Source organism: Homo sapiens, chromosome 14 (genome assembly GCF_000001405.40).
Source record: "Homo sapiens chromosome 14, GRCh38.p14 Primary Assembly".
NCBI lineage: Eukaryota > Metazoa > Chordata > Mammalia > Primates > Hominidae > Homo > Homo sapiens.
The window spans coordinates 91,859,591-91,882,868 of NC_000014.9; the positions used below are offsets into that span (position 1 = coordinate 91,859,591).

At 46.6% G+C, this 23,278-nt stretch overlaps 2 protein-coding genes across 8 annotated transcripts in view, besides 1 other annotated feature; both read right to left on the reverse strand.

The window, feature by feature from the left end:
* The window catches only part of TC2N (tandem C2 domains, nuclear), an 87,791-nt gene extending 79,845 nt beyond the window's left edge, over positions 1-7,946 (reverse strand). Inside the window, exon 1 of the mRNA NM_001128596.3 lies at positions 7,672-7,946. The gene's annotated coding sequence lies outside the window, so the exon portion shown is untranslated. The remainder of the gene's footprint in view (positions 1-7,671) is intronic.
* Positions 8,112-8,161: an enhancer, noted in NCBI's record as "active region_8925". NCBI's record gives its function as "activates an Ori minimal core promoter by ATAC-STARR-seq in GM12878 lymphoblastoid cells {active_cell/tissue: GM12878}" and the evidence as "EXISTENCE:reporter gene assay evidence [ECO:0000049][PMID:35858748]".
* The window catches only part of FBLN5 (fibulin 5), a 78,284-nt gene continuing 64,826 nt past the window's right edge, over positions 9,821-23,278 (reverse strand). For 4 of the 7 annotated variants that reach the window (NM_006329.4, NM_001384158.1, NM_001384162.1 and 1 more), the window contains 3 exons: positions 21,702-21,828; positions 17,897-18,092; positions 9,821-10,795 (listed from right to left, as the gene is read on the reverse strand). In NM_006329.4, coding sequence (NP_006320.2) covers positions 10,634-10,795; positions 17,897-18,092; positions 21,702-21,828 — 485 coding nt within the window. In that variant the 3' untranslated portion in view covers positions 9,821-10,633. Of the gene's footprint in view, positions 10,796-13,906; positions 14,086-17,896; positions 18,093-21,701; positions 21,829-23,278 lie in introns of all 7 variants that reach the window. The other 3 variants (NM_001384160.1, NM_001384161.1, XM_011536356.2) reach the window with 1 other exon arrangement.

Here is a 23,278-nt window from a genome sequence, read left to right on the forward strand (position 1 = left end):
GTATCATGCAGGAGTTTGCATTTAGAACCCCAGGTGGAAACTACACCACAGGGGCACTGGTAATACAGCAGAAGTGACTCCCTCTACACAGGGGTGGGGGCTTGGTGGGCTGCACAGACCACAGAGGTCAGGGATGGCTCTGGAAAGTTCCTAGAGAGGCTGATCTCTGTGGAAAGATGAATAGGCATTTGCCAAATGGGCAAAGAGAAGAACTGCATTCCAGCCAATGAGAAGAGCTCAGACAGGAGCAGCTGGAGGGAGTACATAAGCCATTCTGGTTTGTTGGGGATGTGTTTGTTTCTCCAAGAATTTGGTCTAAAGGAGGGGAAAGTGGTAGGAGCTGGAACTGGAGCAGCAGGCAGGAACCAGATCACGGAAGGTTTTGTCAATCCTATTCAGGAGTTTGAATCTTAACCTGTGGGCAGAGGGAATGTCAGTAGGGTTCTAACTAAGGACCTAGTCAGTCTTACTCTTTAGAAAGATCGCTTTAGAAATAATGTCTCTTATGTGAACAACTGCAATTATTTTTCTTAATTCTCATCTCCCCTCCCTCCATACACCATTTCCAAAGTAGAAAACAAGATGATGTGTCTTCCCTAATTAAAAATCAAAACAAAATTAAAACCTCACCACAGCTTCCCATAGCAGACAGCAGCAATTCCAGACTCCAAGGAAAATTGTTCCTGGAGATGTTAAGTTTTGTTATGGGGGGCTGGGGAAGGGGGGAAATCATTTCCTTGCAAAAAAAAAAAAAAAGTTGGATTAACCTTTATACAAAATTAAGCAGGTTTTCTTTTCATTGCAGGACTTCTCAGAGCCTTCAGTTTTCTAAAATCAACTGTGACTCTTTAAAAAGGGGATTCAGCATTCAAATCCCCAACTTATTAAACAAGTGAGCTCCTTGATCTTGGAGCATTGATTAGCATCTTCATGGGCTAGTCTTCTGTGAAATGCTGACCTGCACAATATGAAGTCCAAACTCAACTAGGTGAATAGTCTTGTGAATAATCTAGCCTCAACTTTTATCCCTTCCTGACATACACACACACATCCTTGTATCCTCTGTTCCAACCACACTGGTCTTCTTACTGCCCTTCCCCTCTTTCTATGCTTGAGGAATTCTGGGTCATCCTTTAAGCCATAGCCAAATAGCAACTCCACTGTGAAAAAGTGGTCTGTAGTGAGGGTTGCAGAGATACAGGTTGGTCTGAATCAAGGCTACTGTCCATGAAACCCTCTATGCAGTACGTGGAAATTGTTTGGATGAATAACTCTGTAATCTGCGAATCTGTGAAGAGGGCTGGACTACATTTTACAAGGCAATTAAGGGTTCTTTGTGACTGGCAAAGAGGCTCTGGCCTCTGGAGACTGCACTGTCCTGTATTTAAAGAAACTTCAGTTTTTCCCAGCCTCTCTGCTGTAGATTACATGAAGAACAGAAGCATCATGTCAAGCCGCTGGATACCATAATGGAGTGGGACAAAAGGAGTGCTGGAAAGATGTTTTGAAGTCCATGTTTGGGAATGAGTGGAGGTAGCCTGGATCTCCGACAAGGGGTACTGGAATGAAGGAAATTGATTCTAGGATGGAGAGACTGGAAATCAGAAAGACCAGAGAATGAATCCTCAGAAGAACAGCCACAAGAAAGTACCATGTTCACATAAGTTGATACAGATACTTTCTTTTTTAAAGCCGGAACAGGAAGAGGGCAAGTAACAACAACAACAAAAAGCTATGGCTTTGCTCAGGAAGAGTTGTTCTAGAGACTGCTTCTGTGTGCTAAGGAGAGAAGAAAAGAGGAATTTAAGGCAGAAGAAGTAATAATGCATAAAAAGCTTTGTGCTTTGTCCCTTGGACCCAGCTTTGCTTTCACTGGACAGGACCTAACCCTGACTACTGCCTTCCAACTTTGGGATGGAGAACAGACGGAGGGGAAGGTGGGCCAGTGCAGAGAAAGAAAGAAGAGAGAGAAGAGAGGCAGGGGAAGAAACAAGAGGAGGAAGTGGAGGGAAGCAAAGGGGTCACCAGCTCTTATGCAGAAGTAAACAGGAGCTGGACATGATGGCTGATGCCTGTAATCCCAGCACTTTGGGAGGCCAAGGTGTGTGGATCACCTGAGGTCAGGAGTTCGAGACCAGACTGGCCAACATGGTGAAATCCTATTTTTACTAGCCAGGCCTGATGGCGGGTGTTTGTAATCCCAGCTACTTGGGAAGCTGAGGCAGAAGGATCGCTTGAGCCTGGAAGGTGGAAGTTGCAGTGAGGCAATATTGTGCCACTGCACTGCAGCCTGGGTGACAGAGTGAAACCATGTCGTTGGAAAATATATATATATATGTATATATATGTTTATATATGTATATGTGTGTATATGTGTGTGTGTATATATATGCATTGCATCTGACTCAGCAACTCAATTTTGTAATTTTAACTCATTTAATCAATTGGTCTTAATTTAAATTATAGGCTGGGCATGGTGGCTCACACCTGTAATCCCAGCACTTTGGGAGGCTGAGGCGGGCAGATCACTTGAGCTCAGGAGATTGAGACCGGCCTGGGCAACATGGCGAAACCCCATCTCTACCAAAAATACAAAAAAATCAGCCAGGCGTGGTGGCGGGCACATGTGGTCCCAGCTACTTGGGATGCTGAGATGGTAGGATCGCTTAAGCCCAGGAGATGGAGGTTGCAGTGAGCTGAGATCACACCACTGCACTCCAGCCTGGGTGACAGAGTAAGACTCTGTCTCAAAAAAAAAAAAAAAAAAAGAAAGAGAAAAAGAAGTAAAGCATGGATTCAGAGTTTGAGCAGGCGAGGAAGAGGAAGAGAAAGAGAATCAGACCCATATCTGCCTTCCTCTTGGTTTTCACCTCAGCCGTCAACAGGTTTGTTGGTCTTTGTTGAACCAGCAAAGGAGCGGAGTGGGGCTGAGGGAAATCTGGTGAAAATTAAGATCAAGAGCAGCCTCGAGGCAATTTCCTAGGATGGAAGCCTCCTGCTGCTGCAGATCAAGTGTGAGGAGCACAAGGCAACTTGGCTCAGCATTTGCTGGAAGGAGCCACTTCCTCTCCTCCCTGCGGCCTGCCCCATCCCTGCAGTCACTCCAAATGAGGCAGCCTGCTTCTTTTTGGTGTGCCTTATTGTTCCAAAACTTCTTGGAGTACACCTGGGAACTCTTCACCACCTACTGATGAAAAGTCCCAGCTTTTATGGTGAAAAATGATGTCCCGGATTCTTTTCTTTAATCTCATTGAAGGCCCTAACAAGATAACACATTCCAAAGTTCCAACAGAACAACAACAACAACAAAAGCCAGAAGCAAAGGAGTCTACCTCTCTGTATGACTTCTGAGTTGAAAGGATCTCCTTGACTAATTATGGTTTTACTGAAAGATGTAGATGATGATTTTAATAGTGCCTTTGCTCAACAAAAATGTAGCTGTTACTGGCCCATAGGGCTGCTTCTTAGAAAGACTGGTGTGGAAAGACTGGCTTAGAAAGACTGGCTGTGTGGAAATGCCAGCCTTGGGGCGGAAACCTCCATGAGATCTTTTTAAATGTGGAACTAGAACAAAACAAAATAAGACAAAACAAAACTATGAGGTTACAGCATCACCATAAAGATCTAAGGTATCTACAAATATCATAGCTTGGTTTCAGTGACATTACCAAACCAAACTGGAGTGGGCTTGCCCAGCGCAGTAAGGCCAAACGTTCATACCAAAGTTTTATAGTGGGAGAAGGAAGGGGATTGATTAGCAAGACACCAAGCAAGGAGAATTGGGCAGCTCACGCCTAAGACCTGACCTCCCCAATGGCTTATAAGCAAGGGTTTCTAAAGGCAGGGGTAAACTTCAGGAAAGTGGAAGTTACAAGCAAAATTGTAAATCGATATATGGAGGTTATATACTGGTTTGGCCTAAAAAGGTGAGATAGCTTGAAGTGGGGGGCTTACAAAGTCATAGGTAGATTCAAAGATTTTTTGATTTGCAATTGGTTAAAGAAGGGAAGCTTTGTCAAAAGACTTGGGTTCAGCAGAAAAGAATGTGGGGTCTGGCCTGTGGGTGTGACTTCCTCCAGGCCCTTCAGGAAAAAGTTTAGAACAAAGAATGGAGGCTGGGCATGGTGGATCACAGCTGCAATCCTAGCACTTTAGGAGGCCAAGGTGAAAGGATCACTTGACGCCAGGAGCTCAAGATCAGCCTGGGCAAAAAAGCGAGACCCCAGACTCCATCTCTACAAAAAAAAAAAAAAAAAAAGCCTGACATGTTGGCACGTAGCTGTAGTCCCAGCTCCTCGAAAGGCTGAGATGGGAGGATCACAGGACAGGAGGTCGAGGCTGCAGTAAGCTATGATTACACCACTACACTCCAACCTGGGCAACAGAGCCAGACCCTGGCAAAAAAAAAGAAAAAAACCCAGAATAAAGAACAGAGGTCAGAATTCAGTCCTCAGAATTCAGTCCTCAGTTCTCCCTTACCTGAGGTCTGCATGCCAGGGGATCCATTTGGTGGGGGTCTGGGTTTCTGAAAAACAACTCAGGGATATATGTTAAGATGTTACCTTTAGTCTCTGGAGGGAACCAAACATCTCGCAACTCTAACTTCCCTGGCTATTGTTTTAAGCTACTATTACCTTCTTGTTTACCAAGTTGCTCCTTACTTCTCAGGGCTAGCTGGGTGCCTGGAATTTCCCTTGCAGGAACTCAAGATTTCGCTTTATTTCCATGCTTGTAGGGGAGTAGGGGGAAGGAGGCCCCTAAAAGGGGTCCCTGCTTCATCTCAATGTTGGCTTTTTTGGTAAGTTTTCAGATCAGGGGATGTAGAACGTTCACAAATAAAACAATCCACACTCGCTTTAGGGATAAATTATGAATGGTTCATACGTTAAAACTCCAAAGATGCCAAAGCACCTACCCTATTTTAAAGCATAGTAGCTATCGTGATACAAGCCAGTTTTGCAATGTCAAATTCATTCTGAGTAGAAGGTTGGAAACGAAGACTTAGAAAAAAGGAACAGGTTGAAACCAAAACAATCCTACCCAAACGAAAACTTCTTTTAAACAGAATCAAGTGATCCAATGACTCTGTGGCCTTAAATCAATGTTAATTAATTTCTCAAATCCTAATAAACAGGTATCATAATGGCACTGTATTTGTATGTGTGTACAATTTACCCTGCCTTCATCTTTTTTTTTTTTTTTTTTTTTTGAGACAGACTCTCGCTCTGTTGCCCAGGCTGAAATGCAATGGTGCAATCTCAGCTCACTGCAACCTCTGCCTCCTGGGTTCAAGCAATTCTCCTGCCTCAGTCTCTGAGTAGCTGGGATTATAGGTGTGTGCCACCACTCCCACCTAATTTTTGTATTTTTAGTAGAGACGGGTTTCACCATGTCGACCAGGCTGGTCTTGAACTCCTGGCCTCAAGTGATCTGCCCACTTCGGCCTCCCAGATTACAGGCATGAGCCCCTGTGCCCAGCCCCCTGCCTTCATCTTTACATTATTGCTCAAGAATATCCCAAATTCCTGAAAAAGTCACTGCCTGTCAACATGCAGTTCCCCTCTGAAAGAACACCAAAATGGCAATTCAGTAGATCACTCCTGTGTTGACACCTATTTTCTCACTTTAATGATTTATTTCTCTGATGGCTGCTGGCTAAGATTCATTATTAAGAACCATTAGTAAGTCAAACATTCTAACTGGAGGCTTTCATCCCCGCAAAAGCTACCAAAGTGATAAATTTTGCCTCTGTGCACTCCTTTGTCTTGGAGCCTCTTGGTTTTTTTTTTTTTTTTTTTTTAAAAAAACATCTTTTAGCTATGTTCAGGGATTCCAACAAAGATATCAGCCATTTGTTAAGTAACAGGACTAAGAAATTTGAAAACAAAAATATCAGCACAAGGAACAATCTGTATATTTGTTTGTAGTTTATAAGCATTGGCCAATTCCAAAATAATGAAGAGATTTGCTAAGTGCTCACGTTTTTTTTCAGATAAAAAAATATTGCATTTAAAGTAAACACAAATTGTATCAAAAAGAAAAAGTTTATCTAGCATTTATTAGTGTTTCCTTTCAAAATACTTAATAATTCTAAGCAGAGGCAACTTATTCTAAATTTCAAACACATGTCTATAAATTTTCATAAGAATTTTTCTTGTATAAAACAGATGTCTTAATAATTTTTAAAATCTAACTAAAATAATTTTGTGGACCCTGCTACTGCACCTACCACATTATATTCCAGTTTTGTCGTGTATGCTGCATAAACCCCTGGCTAAAGGTGTTATTAAAAAGTTATTAAAGTTTTAGATTAACTTTTTATAAAGTTTTAATAACTTTTAAAGTTATTAAAAAGTTATTAAAGGTGTTATTAAAAAGGTGTTATTATAAAGTTATCGGTGGACTGTCTATCCTGTTCATGTCTCTGAATCCAGCAACCGGCTTAACCAAAGTGGATTCTTAACCAAAGTATGTGATCCTCTCAAGACAAAGACCTTTTACAAACAATATTTCATCTGGCAAGAGGGGAGTAGAGGAGAGTTCCTTTGTCAAGTCTTCTCTCTGTGGGTGACCCCGTTGGCTCAGAATGAACAACTTGGGCACATTACAGTAACCACCCAGGCCACAAAAATGCGTTGAAACCACTGAAAATGAAATAATCAGACCTACTTAAATGTTTTTACCATCTGGGCAAATAACACCCCAAGGGCCAAGACTTACCTAAGAAAGTGTCTGAAGTATGTTACCCAAGCCTGAGAGGCAACAGGTAGGTGGATTTTGTGCCAATTAGAAAGTGTTATGATTGGCAAACCACTGCAAAACTCTGAAATTGCAGTGAAATGGAAATGCTGGCTGTCATCCCCAAAGTACATTTCAAGGAATCACAAAACTTCAGAATTAGAAGCAATTATTTAGGATGAACGTTTTCACCCACATGAAAGTTGGAAGATGAGGTGGTAACACGAGAGCTTTTGCAGGCGTCCCTACTCTTAATCCTGCGCCCCTTCCACCTTGGTACCCTTCATTCTTCAGGACCTGATGGAGTGGTACAAAGCAGAGGTCACTTGACAAGCTCAGCCCAGCTCCTGGATGGGGCAAAGCTGACAAGGAATAGGCACAGGGAGCCTGGAGATCTCAGGGTCCAGGAAACAGCCTGCCCCATTAGAACTGCACAGCAGAGCACAGCACTGGGATCAGAGAGCAGGCTCATCCCCAGTCTTGTACAAAAAATAACATTTGATGATTCCCAAGGGGTAGGTAAAGCAAGTAGCATTTGGGGTTCCAGCAGCCTCTAGAACTGTTTCCCAAATGTTTGGAGCTTGACTTTGCAGTATACACTTTGCCCTGGACTGTTTTTCTCTTAATTTTTAGGCCCAAGTGTATTTTAAGGTAAATGGATCCCACATGCCTCTGGTGCATTTACACTGAACCCATCAGACCACATTTTGAAAGCGCAATTTGAGGTCCAAGAAGCCCTTGGAGGCTGCTTTTATGAGCCTGAGTTTCTTTTCTTAGAAGCAGGAAGCCACATTTTGACATGAACAAATAAAACACAAACCTTAAAGACTCGGATCTGGTTCCAAATGTGGCACCTCTGAAACCAGTGGGTCCTCAAATCATCAAGACAGAAAGCTTCCCAGTTTTCTTTTTGAGAAGTTCATGGAGACTTACCCCTGTGTTCTGTTGAGCCCAGAGGCAGTGGTTCGGAGGCGCTCGGTGCAAAGCTCACGTAAACCTTCAGCATTTCTGATTCCATCCTTCTTCCCAGCCCCTGAGTCTCCCTACACAGCAGGGACCCAGGCTCACTGCTGCCTTCTGGCCTTTGCTTTTCGGAGCCGAGCTGAGTGAGTCCCAAGGGAATCACCCTCTGTTTTATAAGCTTTGAAACCAGAGCATCCTGAGCCATTTGGTGCTGATGTGATTGCTAACACCACTTGACCCTGACTGAAGAACCACAACTAGGCATGGTTTAGATGTGCTTAGTTAGAGAAAAAAATAACCACAGCCAACAGCAAAGTGAGGTGTGTGGTGTGGGTGTGAGAAATGCTCTTGGGGTGAGGAGGGAGGACTTGCAGCTTCTTGGATGCTACAGGGCGTGGAACATGCTGTTTCCTTCCACTGAAGGCCTAAGATACTACTAAGTGGAACAGGAGAATTCCCTGGCCCCCTCACAGGATGTGCAACAGGGGTGTGGCTCTCTCTTCAGCCACCCCAAGCTAAAACCCCTTATGGGAAGGGGAGCACGCAGACAGGCAGGTGCAGGAACCAGGGTGAGCACTTTTGGGCCCCAGCCCCATGACAGCATCCCGGGGTCGGTGTCTGTGACTTCCAAAGCCCGAGTAGGCACTGAAACAGTGCAGTCTTTCAGCCTTGCCATCCGTGGACAGCTTAAGCGTTAACCAGCTTAGTGGACCCTCTCCCTTTTTGCCAGGGCAGAGGGCCAGTGTGACAGTTTCCTGTATCCCGAGCTCTTGTCCAGCATCCCGGAGGGATCAGGTCACACATGGATTTGCAGGATGAATGCAGGGGTTTTATTGAGTGGTGGAGGTGGCTCTAAGTAGGATGGATGGGGAGCTGGACAGGGGATGGAGTGGGAAGATGATCTTCCCCTGGAGTTTGGCCATCCAGTGGCCAGTTTTCAGATCGTCTCCAGTCGAATTCCTCCCAATGTTCCTTCTCTTCTCTCCTTCTTTGCCGTGCTTTTCTGCCATTCATGTCTGCTCATCTTCTTGTCTCCCCGTCTGCTTCTGGAGCCTGGAGCCTGGGGTTCAGGGTTTATATGGGTACAGGATAGGGGACATGGCAGGCCAAAAGGCAACTTTTTAGGGATGAAAACAGGAATGGCTGTCCTCATTTAGGGCCATGGGTACCCAGGCTTGAGGGTGGGGCCTTTGCCAGGGAACCACCCTCTTCTACCCAGTATTTCCCTGTCTCCTGTCCATATCACAAGGATCTGTGGAATGCCTACTAAGACTAGGGGTCCAGGACACAACTCCTGATAGGCACTGTGGGGGTCCTTAATGAATACCTCACCAACAGGTAGGATGGGAGCACCCTCAGATGGATCTGTAGACTCCACCTCAGCTATCAGGGAGTGCACTTTTTTCCTGAAGCCTTGGGTTGATTCCTGGGATGGCACATAAAGACAGCCATCCCAACCTGTTCTCCTGTGACTTGCAATGTTGACTCTCTTGGCCCCTGCACAGGGTTCTAAGACTTGAAGGATGTCCAGAGGCCCTGACCAGGAAAAGAATAATGTATCCTACAATGAGCAGAAAAGACATTGAGGGCAAGGCAGCTAGGGCTCCAGCCCCATCTGTCCACCTCTCTTTCTAGGGTTTATAACAATACATTCTCAACTCTGGCTACATAGTCAAGTTTTCAAAAATCCTGATGGCCGGGCCCTACCTAAGCCCAATGACATCAGAGTGTCTGGGGGCATGTCCCGGGGAATCAATCTTTCCTCCAAAGTTCTACTGGTTATCCGTCTATGCAGCCAGGGTTGAAGGCCACTGGTTTAAAGTAACTTGAATACATTCCTGTTCTGCAGGAGCACCGGAAATAATCTACGTAAGAGAAGGATTGTTGGTTGTTTTCTAATCAGATGAAACAGGACTCAGGGATGATGCCTCCCCCTAACTTCCCCACGACCCCTATTTCTCTGCCCCACCGCCCCCCTCCCATCAATTTGCCAGAGTCACAGATAATGCCCTAGCTCTCTGGAGAGCTTTCTAAGCCAGCGCACAATAAACAGGTTTAAACAGAACTAGAACCCCAAAGGCTGACTCGTCTATGATGTCAAAATGAACCAAACACAAGCTCTCTTCAAATATTTAATCAGTTTGGAGACCTCTGCATTCCAATCCAATTGGGTAAAAATTCTAAAGAAAGCAAGATTAAGGGGTCCTCAAAGAAAACACTGGGCTAAAATGGAGAGGAGACTGGGTTTGGGAAGACAGAACATAGCATGTGTCTGAAGGCCTTTCGAAGGAATTCTACGACATATTTTTTAAAAATACTCAAAATGAACAAGACAGAATTAAACCGTTATACAAATTTAAGGACAACTGAAACTTCTTTTATGGTTGAAAATACCAGGCATGGTTTTGAAACACATTCTCTAAAAACCCTTCGATCCTGCTGTGGTTTGTTTACATAGCCTTCTCTGTGTACGCAAAAAGCAAACTAGCTACTCCCAGGGTTCCCCGCCAGCTCCCGGGTCTTTGCAAAGCAGTAACACAGTGAGAGAAGGAGTGGAAGAGGTGAAGAAGTGACAGCAAGCTGTTCACAGTCTTTGAACATAGACTCAGACCCCCGCAAACCTAATCTATTTTCTTTGAAAATAGTGGAAATAAACTGAAGGCCTTGAAAATTCACCAACAATCTTCTATCAGGGGAGCAATGATAATACTTTTTGATAACTGTGTCATAGGAACTGGGGGTGGCAAGTCCTGCAGGGTGACAGGTCTGCAATAGTACAGGTGAGAGTCAGGAAGTCGGGGCTGACTCTTCGGGGAAACGTTCAGCAGGAAATGCCTAACGTCTGTGTCGCTCTCATTCTCTCTGTTATTTCCTCTCTTCTCCTGTCCCTTGGTGCCAATGAGAGGCAGCGTCGGAGGCTCCAGCCCGAGGCTCAGAATGGGTACTGCGACACATATATCCGCAGTCGGATCACGGAGCTGCCTCTGAAGTTGATGACAGTGTTGACAGTGATCATTTCCAAGTCCAGCTGGATTTCCCGGGGCCCTTTGATGGGGCGTGTCATCACCAGGGTGGCACTGATGGGGCCCGTTTGCTATGGACAGAACCGGGGAACACCAGTGAGAAAAGGCCTGCATGGTGGCCCTGCAGCCCCACCTGGGCGCTCCCTTGCCTCCGTCAGTCAAACTGGCACCCCCTCGGTGCCTCAACTGTGCCATGCTCTTTCCCTGGCTTTGCCCACTCTCCACCTGGTTCTTTTCTGCAAACCCTTCAGGTCTCATCTGAAAGGTCACTTCCTAAGAGGAGCCTTCTCTGGTTCCCCAATCTAAGTCAGGTCCCCCTGCGACCTCTGACGCTGCAGCCTTTACTTTGTACAGGATGGAAAGCATTTATGACCATGTATGATTGTCCATACTGTCTACCTGATCCGTGTCTGATATCTAGGCTCCCACTAGGCTATGAGTTCTGTAAGAACAGGTACTGGGGTCAGGCTTTTCACCACTGAGTCCCCCTAGAAGCCAGCATGGTGCCTTGAACACAGAAGGTGTTCAGAAAACATATATTGAATGATGAACGAATCATTGATTGAAACTTCTGCATGGCTTAGGGCTGTCACTTCACCCCTCTGGGGCTCATCTCTCAAATGAGGGTTTGGCATTGAGTACATACACATGGACACAAAGAAGGGAAAAACAGGCACCAGGGCCTGCTTCAGGGTGGGAGGCAGGAGGAGGGAGGGGATTGAAAAACTACCTACTGGGTACTATGCTTATTACCTGGGTGATGACATCATATATACACCAAACTCCTACGACACAGTAATTTATCTATACAACCAACATGCACATGTACTCTTGAAAGTGGAATAAAAGTTTTAAAAAACGTTTTTGAGGAAAAATAAAATGAGGGTTTGGACCAGATCAGTAATTTAAAAAAAAAAAAAAAAAGGCATCAAAGGCTACTGGAACTTTTTTTGTTAAACTAACAATTCCAGGGGCCCATTCCAAGATTTTCTATGTCAGTATATTTTTAGGTGATGCCTGGGAAAGGTGGAATTTAAGAACCCCCCTCTAGGCACCCTAGAGTCATCTCCAGCTTCACCATTCTGTAACCTGATCACTGTGGTCCTAATAATTTCGCGTGAACTCTCTCCTCCACTGAGTCTTTTTCTAAAACTTTCAAGGAGGAAGGCAGAGAGGAATGACATCAACTGAGCACCCATCATGTGTGAGGCACTCTTCTAACCATGTTTATGTACATCTGCTTATTTAATCCTCATAAAATGGCCAGGCACCATGGCTCACAACTGTAATCCCAGCATTTGGGAGGCCGAGGTGGGCGGATCACTTGAGGCCAGGAGTTGGAGACCAGCCTGGCTGATATGGTGAAACCCCATCTCTACTAAAACTAGAAAAATTAGCAGGGCATGTTGGCAGGTGCCTGTAATCCCAGCTACTTGGGAGGCTGAGGCACAAGAATTGCTTGAACCTGGGGGGCAGAGGTTGCAGTGAATAGAGATCGCACCACTATACTCCACCCTGGACAACGGCGAGACTCCAGCTAAAAAAAAAAAAAAAAATTCTCATAAAACCCTGAAAGGCCTTGCCACTCAAAGTGTGGTCCCTGGACCAGCAGCATGGGCATCACCAGGGAGCTTCTTATAAATGCAGAATCTCAGGGCTAGGATCTACTGAGCCAGAATCTGTGGCTTAACACAATCCCCAGGGCTTTGTGTGCACATTAAGTATTGAGAAATATTGATCTAAAAGCACAGGACCCAGGTGGGGGGGCCCTGGCTGTCCTTGTCTAAGTGCTGTATGAAAGGTATGACTCATTACTTCCCCGTTTTATAAGTAAGCAAACTGAGGTCCCATGAGGTTAAATAATTGCTTAGGGTTACCCAGCTAGTCTTGGGCAGAACCAAGGGCTTCCATTCAGGTATTTCTGACCCCAAGCCCCAGGCTTTTTTCACTGCACAGCAGGTATCAGAAGAGGCTGATGTGTGTTTCACTTCTTCCTAGCACCCACCTAATGAGAGATGCTCGCGGTCAGTGCAAGGGACAGATATTGGCACTGTTAGAGGAAACAGTGTGAAGAAGAAAAGGGATGGGCTGGACAATCACTTCCCATACACTGCAGAGCCCAGCCCTGTGCCCAGAAGCTGCAAGCAACAGTCTCTGCAAAATAAAGGAACCTAGCTGGTTTAAAGCTACACTAGATGTTTTATCTGTCTCCATAAAAGGAGGGCGCCCCATAAAGTTCTGAACATCCCCAAGAGCCACCACAAGTAAGACAAGGGTGGGGCTGGCAGACAGGTGCAGGCCAGGCGCTGGGACCTCCCCTATCCATGAGGCTATCGGCAGCCTGACAGCCACACAATTTCCTCTTGGCACTGGTTCCTCCTGTTCCCGTCAGCATCCACGTTATTGGCACCTCCTCACGCAGATTTCTTGGACTTCCTTGTCAGCCCTTACGAAACCTGAGCCCTGGGCCAGGGCTTCAGAGGGTAAAGCCACACAAGGAAATGCCTGCAGCCTTTACATATACAAATATCTCACCAGCTTTCACTGCGTGAACAAAGACCAAGAGTTGAGAACCCTGAGCTAGGGACAGCCCTCCAGAGGGAGATCTGCAGAGCCCAAGGTCTGGAAGGGAGAAGGGGGCAAGTGCAAACTTCCAAGTTGTTCCTTTGGGCTCTCCTGGTAAATGTCTCCTGAGTACGAAAGAATCCTCAACTATCCCATTTGAAATCCTAGACTCTCCCATTTGGAAGTAACTGCAGAAGCTGGTGAGTCCGGCCTCCACCTGGGTCCACCCTACCCACAAGCACCTGGAAGAGCTCAAGTACCTGCCACAAGAGCTGAGGACAGCCACCTCCACATTCGGCTTTTAGGGCAGAGCCAGGGCATTAATGAAATAAACCCCTGAGAGCCCGTGGGCATTAGTAGGCTTGGTGGTGCGAAAAGATGAGGAGGAGGAGGATGGTGGCGACAGTGATGACGGTGGTGGTTATGATGCCAGGCATCTGGCTACAACCTTTCCTACACCTCTTAATTAATCTTCACAACCCTATGCTCTAAGTAGGTTAGGGATACTACATAAGGCCACCAAACTACTGCATGGTACTAGACTTTATGGCTCCAAAAATCATGCTTCTAACCACTACACTCTCTGATAAGGTCTCTGTACCTCTCCATTTACTCACCATCCCATGGGTCTTGACTTGACTTGAGAATCGCCACTTTGTGTTGTGTTTGCTAGGTTGTTTTCCCCCTCTCCGCTAAGGTGTGTGTGGGTTCCTCCAGGGCAGAGACCACATCCTGTTTGTTTCTCAACGCTCAGTGCCTGACTTGAAGCCTCATATGCAGTGGTGCTGAATGCACGCTGGTAACGGAAGAATGCACACGAATGACTGAACGCCAGTGGACTTGACCACGCTGGGAGTCGGCTGCCAACAGCCCACCAGCTGTGTGTCTTCTTGGCCCTGATCCCAAACACACTCAGGTTTATTCTAATCAACTTGTGGGATGGCATGGTCTGACCTGTGGCAAGCAGCCACGCTGTAGCAGGCCAGCTTCCATGGGCCCTGTCACTTGATCCACGTGTGTCATGGAGTAAGTGCACTTTGGCACAGTCTGAACCCCATGACCTTGCTCCTTCTTCTGGCCCTAATTATGACCCCCAAGCCACCTGGCCAAAGCCAATCATCAGTCCTCTTTCTAGGGCTCAGTGAGAGACAGGCAGCCAATAAGGCTTATGAATGGGCTTGTGTGTGTGTGTACACGTACGCATGTGGGCATAAGTGTGTGCATGTGTGCATGCAAGTGTGTGTGTGTGGTTTGCCTGCGGGGTGAGATGAAGCTCCTCCCATGTGGTTATAATCAAATCAATGAATCTCAGGGTGTGAGAGCCTGGATGGCCATCCAGCCCCACCTCCCACACGATGCTCCAGTCCCCTGGGTAGCATTCCCAAGCTCTCCATGGCCCAGCAGCTCCCAGCCTCCTTGCAGCAGTAGCAGCAACAGTAGCAGTGGCCACAACAGTATCTATACAATCATAACTGCTATTTCTGGAATACTTTCTATTGTAACTGGATGTTAGACTTTTCTTGTGATCTCCATTTCATCTGAGACCCCAAAGCTGGAAGAGTAGGTAAAGCATACCTCCCCATTCTGAAGAAAAGTATAACAGCACAGATTTTTGGTGCCAGGCTGCTTAGGTTCAAATCCTGCCCTGGTGCTTATTAGTTGTGAGACTAGTCGGGCAGGTTGCTTAGCTCTGTGCCTCAGTGCTCTCATCTGTAAAATCTGGACGATAAAACCATCCTATATCATAGGATTCTTGTGAAGATTAAAGGGTTACTGTATAGAAAGCACTTAGAATAGTGTCTGGCACATACAGGCACTATACACGGCTTGCTGCTGATGCTGTGTGTGGAGTTATTGGGGTTATACAGGACTTACAAAGCTGTGATCCAAAGCCAGATGTTTCCCTCATTCCATCACCCCCTCCAGCCTACATACATACTTTTTTGTTTGTTTGTTTTTGTTTTTAGAGACAGGGTCTCGCTCTGCCACCCAGGCTGGAGTGCAGTGGTGCAATCATAGCTCACTGCAGCCTTGAACTCCTGGATTCAAGTTATCTTCTCATCTCAGCCTCCAGAGTGGCTGTGGTTACAGGTCATGCCACCACACCTGGCTAATTTTTTAATCTTTTTTTGTAGAGACAGGGTCTCACTATGTTGCCCAGGCTGGACTTGAACTCCCGGGCTCCAGGGATCCTCCCACTTCAGCCTCCAGAGTAGCTGGGATTACAGGCATGAGCCCCTGTGCCCAACTCTACATATATTTTATTAAACACACTTACTAGCCTCCATCTCAATCAAGAGGGGTTTTCAAAAAAAGAAAAACTGTTTAGAGATGCAGGCCCCTGAAGTTCAAGGATGCAGAAAGTGGTACCAGACTGTCTCCAGGAGAAGTCTGGAGATGTGAGCCCTGAGCTGCCCCACACCATAGAGAGGAACGGGGAATGCAAGGAGCTGATGTTGACATCCTGAAAGGCCCTTGTGTAAGGTCTGCTGCCAGGATGCAGTGATACCCTCCACCTCACTACCACCACGGCACATCTGTATGAGACATAGCCCCAGAATTAGGGGCTGAGAGGTTTGGAGTAGCAGGTGACCAACCACAGGCCCTACTGCCCATATCAGGGACTGGTCAGTGTGAAGTCCTCAGGCAAATCTCCAAAAGACCCACAAAAGCACCCTGTGAGAGCAACAGCTTTGGGGGCTCTGCTCCTGAGGGAATACCAATGCCTGGTTACAATGGCTACAATCGGGGAGGAGCCTCACTCTTCCAGCCTTACCCTTTCTACCACCTGCTCCTCCCCTGCCAGCCCTGGAGGAGCCAGGGCCAGCACTACCATTACCGGGAGGGTGACAAGAGGACAGGGCAGAGGCCAACCACACCCCTTGCCTGCTCTGAACTAGGAGACAGGGAGAAACTTCACAGTGGGTAAGAGACAGAGAGGTTGAAGTTTCCATTTAAACTAGTACAGACTTTTGACGTGAGAGAATGAGACAATCCAATAGAAATGGAACATGCCTGTGAATCCTAGGGAATTGACGTGAGATGTAACCCAGGTGCTCACAGGTTTGATCCAACAGCGTGAGAAAAAGAAAAAGTCATTGACTGTTTCACCCCCACCACCAAACTCCACTTCTTTGATAAAAACTGTATTCCAGATAGGGCACTAAGTGGATAATCTCATCTAATCCTAAAGTAAACACTCATCTAGAGGTCCAGAGGTGTTAGGTCACATCACACAATTGTGAAATTGTTAAACTGTAGAAGACATGGCTCCAGAGCTCACATTAGAATGACTGAGTGGTTTCCCGGGGAGGGTCCCGCAGCTTCAGACAGCATGGACCCTCGGAAAGCCAGCCTTATCGGGAAGATTTCTGTCTTCCTGCCTTGTGGCCCATGACTTCATAGGGCCCAGTCTCTAATGAAAGCATATAAACGCCCATGGACCTTTTCAATATGGCTCCCCACAGTGACCCTGGAAGATCACAGCAGCATCTGTTAGAAATGCAGATTCCTGGGTGCAGTATGCTGGGTAGTAGCCCCCAAAAAGATGCAAGTCCTAAATCCTTGGAACCCGTTCCGTTATAAGGAAAAGGGTTTTTGCAGATGTGATTAAGAATCTGGACAGAGAGATTATCTGGATTGTTTGAATGGGCCCTAAATCTACTCGCAGGTGTTAATATAAGAAGGAGACAAAGGGAGATTTGATACACACAGAGGAGGAAGAGGAGGCAGCGTGACCACAGAGGCAGATATTGGAGTGATGCAGCCACAGTCAAGAAGTGCTGGCGGCCCCCGGAAGCTGGAAGAGATATGGAACGGATTCTCCTCTAGAGCCTCCAGAGGGAGCACAGCCCTGCTGACACCTGGATTTCAGCTCAGTGAAACTGATTTCAGACTCCTGGCTTCCAGAACTATGAGAGAATAAATTTCCTTTGCCTTAAGTCACCAAGTTTTTATTGTTTTTCAGAGATGGGGTCTCGCTCTGTTGCCCAGATTGGAGTACAGTGGTGTGATCTCAGCTCACTGCAACTTCGACCTCCTGGGCTCAAGCAATCCTCCCATCTCACACCACCTCCCCGCCACACTGCCCCAGGTAGCTGAGACTACAGGTGCCTGCCACCATGACCGGCTAACTTTTTTTTTTGTAGAGACAGAGTTTTGCCATGTTGCCCAAGCTGGTCTTGAGCTCCTGAGCTCAGACAATCTGTCCACCTTGGCCTCTCAAAGTGCTGGGATTACAGGCATCAGCCCCCGTGCCTGGCCTGCATAGGAGGTACTTAAGAAATACTTGTCACATGGGTTGGTTGAAAAGTGGAGACGTGAATGCCTCTCCAACAGAATATTAGGAGAAAAGAGACCTAAGATTGCATCTTGGCCTAACTTCCCATTTCACAGATGAGGATCCTGAGGCTCAGGAGGAGAAGCATCTTTTGCAAGACTACACAGAAAGTGGTGGAAACCAGGACCTTGAACCACACCCTCCACTCTTCTCTCTGCCTACCTGTCCCCCAGCCCCACTCTTACCTGCTTGCATACAGCACGTTCCTAGGAGAGACAGCACAAGGCCACTGTTACAGATGGCGTCCCCACTCCCCACTCCCTCTTACCCGCATGTAAAATTCTCTGCCCTCATTCCCAGATTTGATCTGGAAAATGTAATAGGCCCCAGGGTAGCGGGTCGTGGCTTGCATTTGGAAGATGTCAGCGGGAACGGAGCGTCCTGACACCACGTCCATGTCCCGGTACAAGATGGTAAAGGGCTGGTCTCTGCAGCCAGGGTTCTCAGCAGGACACATACAGCGGCTGTGGAAAGGGAAATCACGTGAGAACTCAAGAAATCCATTCCAGGTGCTGGCTGTGCCTACTTCCTCTCTTAAAACACTGAAAATGAGGCCACCCCATTTTTAGCATCCAAATGCCATAACTGTAGAATGTCTCTGCTCCTGGCTTGAGTCTAAAATCTCTCCAGCATGTAGGCGAGCTCTGTTTCCTAGAGAATGGACTTTTCTCACCAACCAGATGTTCTGGCTACTAAATAGAATACAAACCTTAGATCTCTGGTTTTCAGAACATTAGAACATTCTCCAAGATACTTTACATTTGCCACGTAGGCCAAATATGCCACTCCAGCCTGGGCGGCAGAGCAAGACCCTGTCTCAAAAAAACAAAACAAAAAAAAAGGAAGAAAGAAAGAAATTTTTAAAGTAAGAAACTGGATTAACAGGTCTTGGGGATCCTTGTACATTCTCTATTGTGCTCAGCCCAGTCTGCATGGAATGTTACTGAATCGAATATAATCAAATCTTGTCATTCGATAATTGATAAGCAAGAGTTAGAACTATGTACAAGATGTGACATTGGACATTTTGGAAATTCAATGAATAATAAGATCCTGACCTCAGATAGTTTACTTTCTAATAGGAGAAATAAACCACAGACACAAATATCTCTAATACAAAGCAACTATTAACAGAGTGCCCTAATATAAAATCACTGACTTTTACTACCAAAGAATGCCTGTTATAGACACCCCTTGATTCACCCCTAACACCCCCTTCCTCTGTCTCTGACCCTGCCCTGAGACTCCACCTAGGGGCCAGGGTTCACAATAGGATGAAGATGTCTGTTGAGACGCGCGGTGGTGGCCAACGCTAGGAGTCAACCTTGCTGTGTTTCTGCCACTAACTTCCAATCTATCCACAAAACCTGTTGGTTCTACTTCCAAAAGAGAGTCCACATCCAACCATCTCCAGTGCCTTCAATGCACTCTTGCCTTCTCGCCTTTGCACATGCTGTTCCTTCTGATCTTCCACTCTCTATTTAGTTAAAGTCAACTCATTTTCCCATTCCAGCCCAAGTGTCATTTTTCAGAGAGGCCTTTGGACTCCTCCATCTAAACCATCCAGCCTACTCTTCCTTTTTATAAATTTCCATTCATTCTGAGCAGAGTATGGTGTCTCATGCCTATAATCCCAGCACTTTGAAAGGCTGAGGCAGGAGGATGACTTGAGTCCAGGAGTTCAAGACCTCTGGCTTTACCAAATACATATATATGCCAGGAGCACTGGCACACACCCATAGTCCTAGCTACTTAAAAGGCTGAGGCAGGACGATTGTTTGAGCCCAAAAGGTTGAGGCTTCAATGAGCTGTGATTGCACCACTGCGCTCCAGCCTGGGTGGCAGAGCAAGTTTCATTTTTTTAAGGCTGCATCAAAATAGCCAAGTCAAAATGTCTCTAGTGCCAAAATGGCCACAATAAAGTATCATGTGCAGCATAGAAAATCATTGTTTCCTAAAAGAAGTTTGGAGGAGGGAGTGATGGCTCCCAGCTGAAGAGGACCACAAACAGCTGGGAGAGGTGGCATCTGAGCTGAAATCTGAAAGATGGGGCAGGACTGGCTATGTGGAAATGAAAGGAATGCCTTCCATATGGCCGGAAGTATGTGCACACAAGAAGGGAGGCTGGCCATTCCTGGGCACGGGTAAAGGCATGAGCAAGTCCTGTTCAGACTGGCAGGAGCACAGGACACCTGAACTGGACAAGGAGCTGGAAGGGGCTGCCGGAGTCTGACTGGACTGGAGCCTGGAGTGAGGGAGTCACGGAGCATTGTCAGCGTCATGCCAGAGACTCCACCAGTAACTCCAGCTCAGTGCTGCAAGCTGAAATGGGTCAGCTCCCCAGCCACAGACGGGGTGGCCTGGAAAAACCCAGAGAGAACCAGGAATAGAAGCTGGGAAGAGCAGCCTGGAGCTCTGCTCTGCCACAAACAGGCCTTACGTCGGGGGTCAAAGAGCCCTGTTCTAAAGGGTTGCTTAGTAGCACAGCTCTTAGCAACAAGTGAAGATGTCCCTAAAGGATCCGCCTGTCCCGGCATTATCCTCTCTTTTGCCAATTTGTTATCAAAGTGGGTACCACTGGTAAGCCATGAATTCCTCTCTTAGAGGCTGTATTCCGAGAGGGCAGGATGGGTGTGTCTGATTCATCCTTTCGTCTCCCATGCGGGGTTTGGTGTTGCTCAAGGGAAGTCGATGTGTGAACATTTGGAATATAGGAGGCCAAGGAGGAACTGAGATGGTTTAAAAAAGGGATAAAAGAGAAGGAAAAGGAACTCCTACTATGCCAGGAACAGAAAGCCACTGTCCTACTGCATTCACCTTTTGGAAGTTGTCTTCACTTTAATTCTCTCCTCAACTCTAATATTTGCCGTCTGGTGATTTAGTAAAATGTTGACCAAGATGACGTCAGAAACTTGATTAGCACCAACGAGAGAACTCTCCAGCACCTCAATACTCAACTGTCCAGCACCTCAATACTCAACTCTCCAGCACCTCAATATTCACGGAGCAGTCCAGGGAGATTGGAAGCATTCATTTCACCTGGGAGCTTGCCAGAAAGGCGGAATCTTGGGCCCCACCCCAAACCCACTGAATCACACTTTAACGAGATCACCAGGTGAGTCCTATGAGTGTTACATTTAGAAGCCAACCTCTGAAAGACCCCATGTATCCAGAACAAAGTCATTAGAGGGAAGAGGAGATTCTAGAACCCTGACTCAACTCTCGGCTTGGTTAGCTTTCTAGAGAATCTTTGCATAGCTCTGGCATGAGTAGCGGAGTGATAGAGAACTCTGTGGGAGTGTGCGTGCGTGTGTGTGTGTGTGTGTGTGTGTGTGTGTGTGTGTTTTGAGACAGAGTCTCACTCTGTCACCCAGACTGGACTGCAGTGGCACGATCTCAGCTCATTGTACCCTCCTCCTCCCAGGTTCAAGCGATTCTCATGCCTCAGCCTCCTGAGTAGCTGGGACTACAGGCCCGTGCCACCAGGCCCAGCTAATTTTTTTGGTATTTTTAGTAGAGATGGGGTTTCACCATGTTGGCCAGGCTGCTCTCAAACTCTTGAGCTCAGGCAATCCACCCACCTCAGCCTCCCAAAGTGCTGCGATTACAGTCATGAGCCACCGTGCCCAGCCTTGCATGTGTTTCTTACTGTGTGTTGTGGTCAAACATTTTGAAAAATAGTTCTTTCTTGTATATAGGGATGTGTTTCAGACCCTATAACTTGGAATGGAATGTTTTGCAAACTTTTTGACAACCTACAGTAACACACTTTGCACTGCAAACCAGTAGCACACAAAACTAAAAGATAAGTTTCAAAAAACAATATTGACTCTTGCTATGTGCAATGTACTCTGATATTTTCTATTCCAGTCTGTTCTATCTATTCTACTCTGTTCTATTCTACACACACACACACACACACACACACACACACACGCATGAGCACATGACGTAGGTAGTAGGCCAGGTCCCCTCACTTCCTGGCTGGTGCACTCTCTTTCACACCACACCTCCAACCTCCTGAGCCAGGCCCTCATCAGGTTTCTATTCCCCAGGGGGACGCCGTGACTTACTTATCACTGATCCTCAGATAAGGCTCCTCACAGCGGATGGGGTCAATGCATTTGAAGCCCCCTTGTAAATTGTAGCACGTCTGCTGCAGGTTGCACGTGTGGTTCCTGTGCTCACATTCGTTGATGTCTGAAATGCAGGGGAGACAAGAAGCGGAGGCAGGGCATTATTGGCCAGGCCAGACGCGTGGGGGTGGGGTAGGCTGGATCTTACTACAGAGCTGTACTATCCAATATGGCAGCAACAGGCCATATGTGGCTACTGAGTACTTGGAATGTGGCTGATCCAAATTGAGATGTGCTGTAAGTAGAAAATACACACCAGATTTTGATGACTTAGTACCAAGAAATAATGTGAGCCAGGCACAGTGGCTTACGTCTGTAATCCCGGTACATTGGGAGGCTGAGGCAGGAGGATCACTTGAAGCCAGGAGTTCAAGACCGGCCTGGGCAACAAAGCAAGGTCTTATCTCTTAATTTTATTTATTTATATATATAATTTTTTTTAATTTAAAAAAAGAATGTAAAACATCTCATCAATAATAATTTTTATATTGAATACATGCTGAAATAATATTTTGGATATACTGCATTAAAGAAAACATAGTAGTAAAAACAGGAGTTCAAGACCAGCCTGGCCAACATGGTAAAATACAAAAATACAGAAATTAGCCTGGCATGGTGGCATGCGCCTGTACTAAAAATACAAAATACAAAAATTAGCCCGGCATGGTGGCATGTGCCTGTAGTCCCAGCTACTTGGGAGGCTGAGGCAGGAGAATTGCTTGAACCCGGGAGGCAGAGGCTGCAGTAAGCCAAGATCACACCACTGAACTCCAGCCTGGGCAACAGAGTGAGACTCTGTCACAAAAAGAAAAAAAAGAAAGAAAGAAAAGAAAATATAGTAGTAAAAGTAATTTTACCCATTTTTTTCCTCTTTTAATGTGGCTAATAGAAAATGTAAAATTACATAGATGGCTCACATCTGTAGCTCACATGATATTTCTATTGCCTGGCACTACTACGGAGAATTCTTGCTTGGCAATGGGATAAGGCAGGTTCAAGGAGGCTGAGAATGGGTCAGTTGCTTCTGCAATGACCCCTCAGTGGGTGGAGCATGGGGCTGGAACCCAGGCTAAGCAGGCAAACAGGAGAAGGCCCACCCCTTTTACAGTCTGGGGTCCCAGCCCTTGCAGGAACAGAGCAGTCAGGTGCATGAGGTCTCCCTGGCAACCATGCTCTAGGAGATCACTTGGAGAAAGGCTAACCAAACTGCCCTCCAGGCCACGTAAGAAAGCCCGGGCTCTGGCCAGGCCATAAAAGTCCTGCTTAGCTCTGGAGCAGTTCTCAGAGGAGCCTCAGAGATCTGCCTGGGGAGGCAGAAAGCCACGCTTAGAGGCTGCCGTCTGCATCTGCAGAGTTCATTACAGAAGTTTAAGTGGCCAATATCCTGGCCAAAGGACGGGTTACAGGGAAGGAAGACAACAGGCCAGGCATCCTGCCCAGAGCTGCCACTATGAGAGCCACCAGCACCCACTCACACCCCCACCCCTGCCACCTTCCCAAAGCTGCACATGATT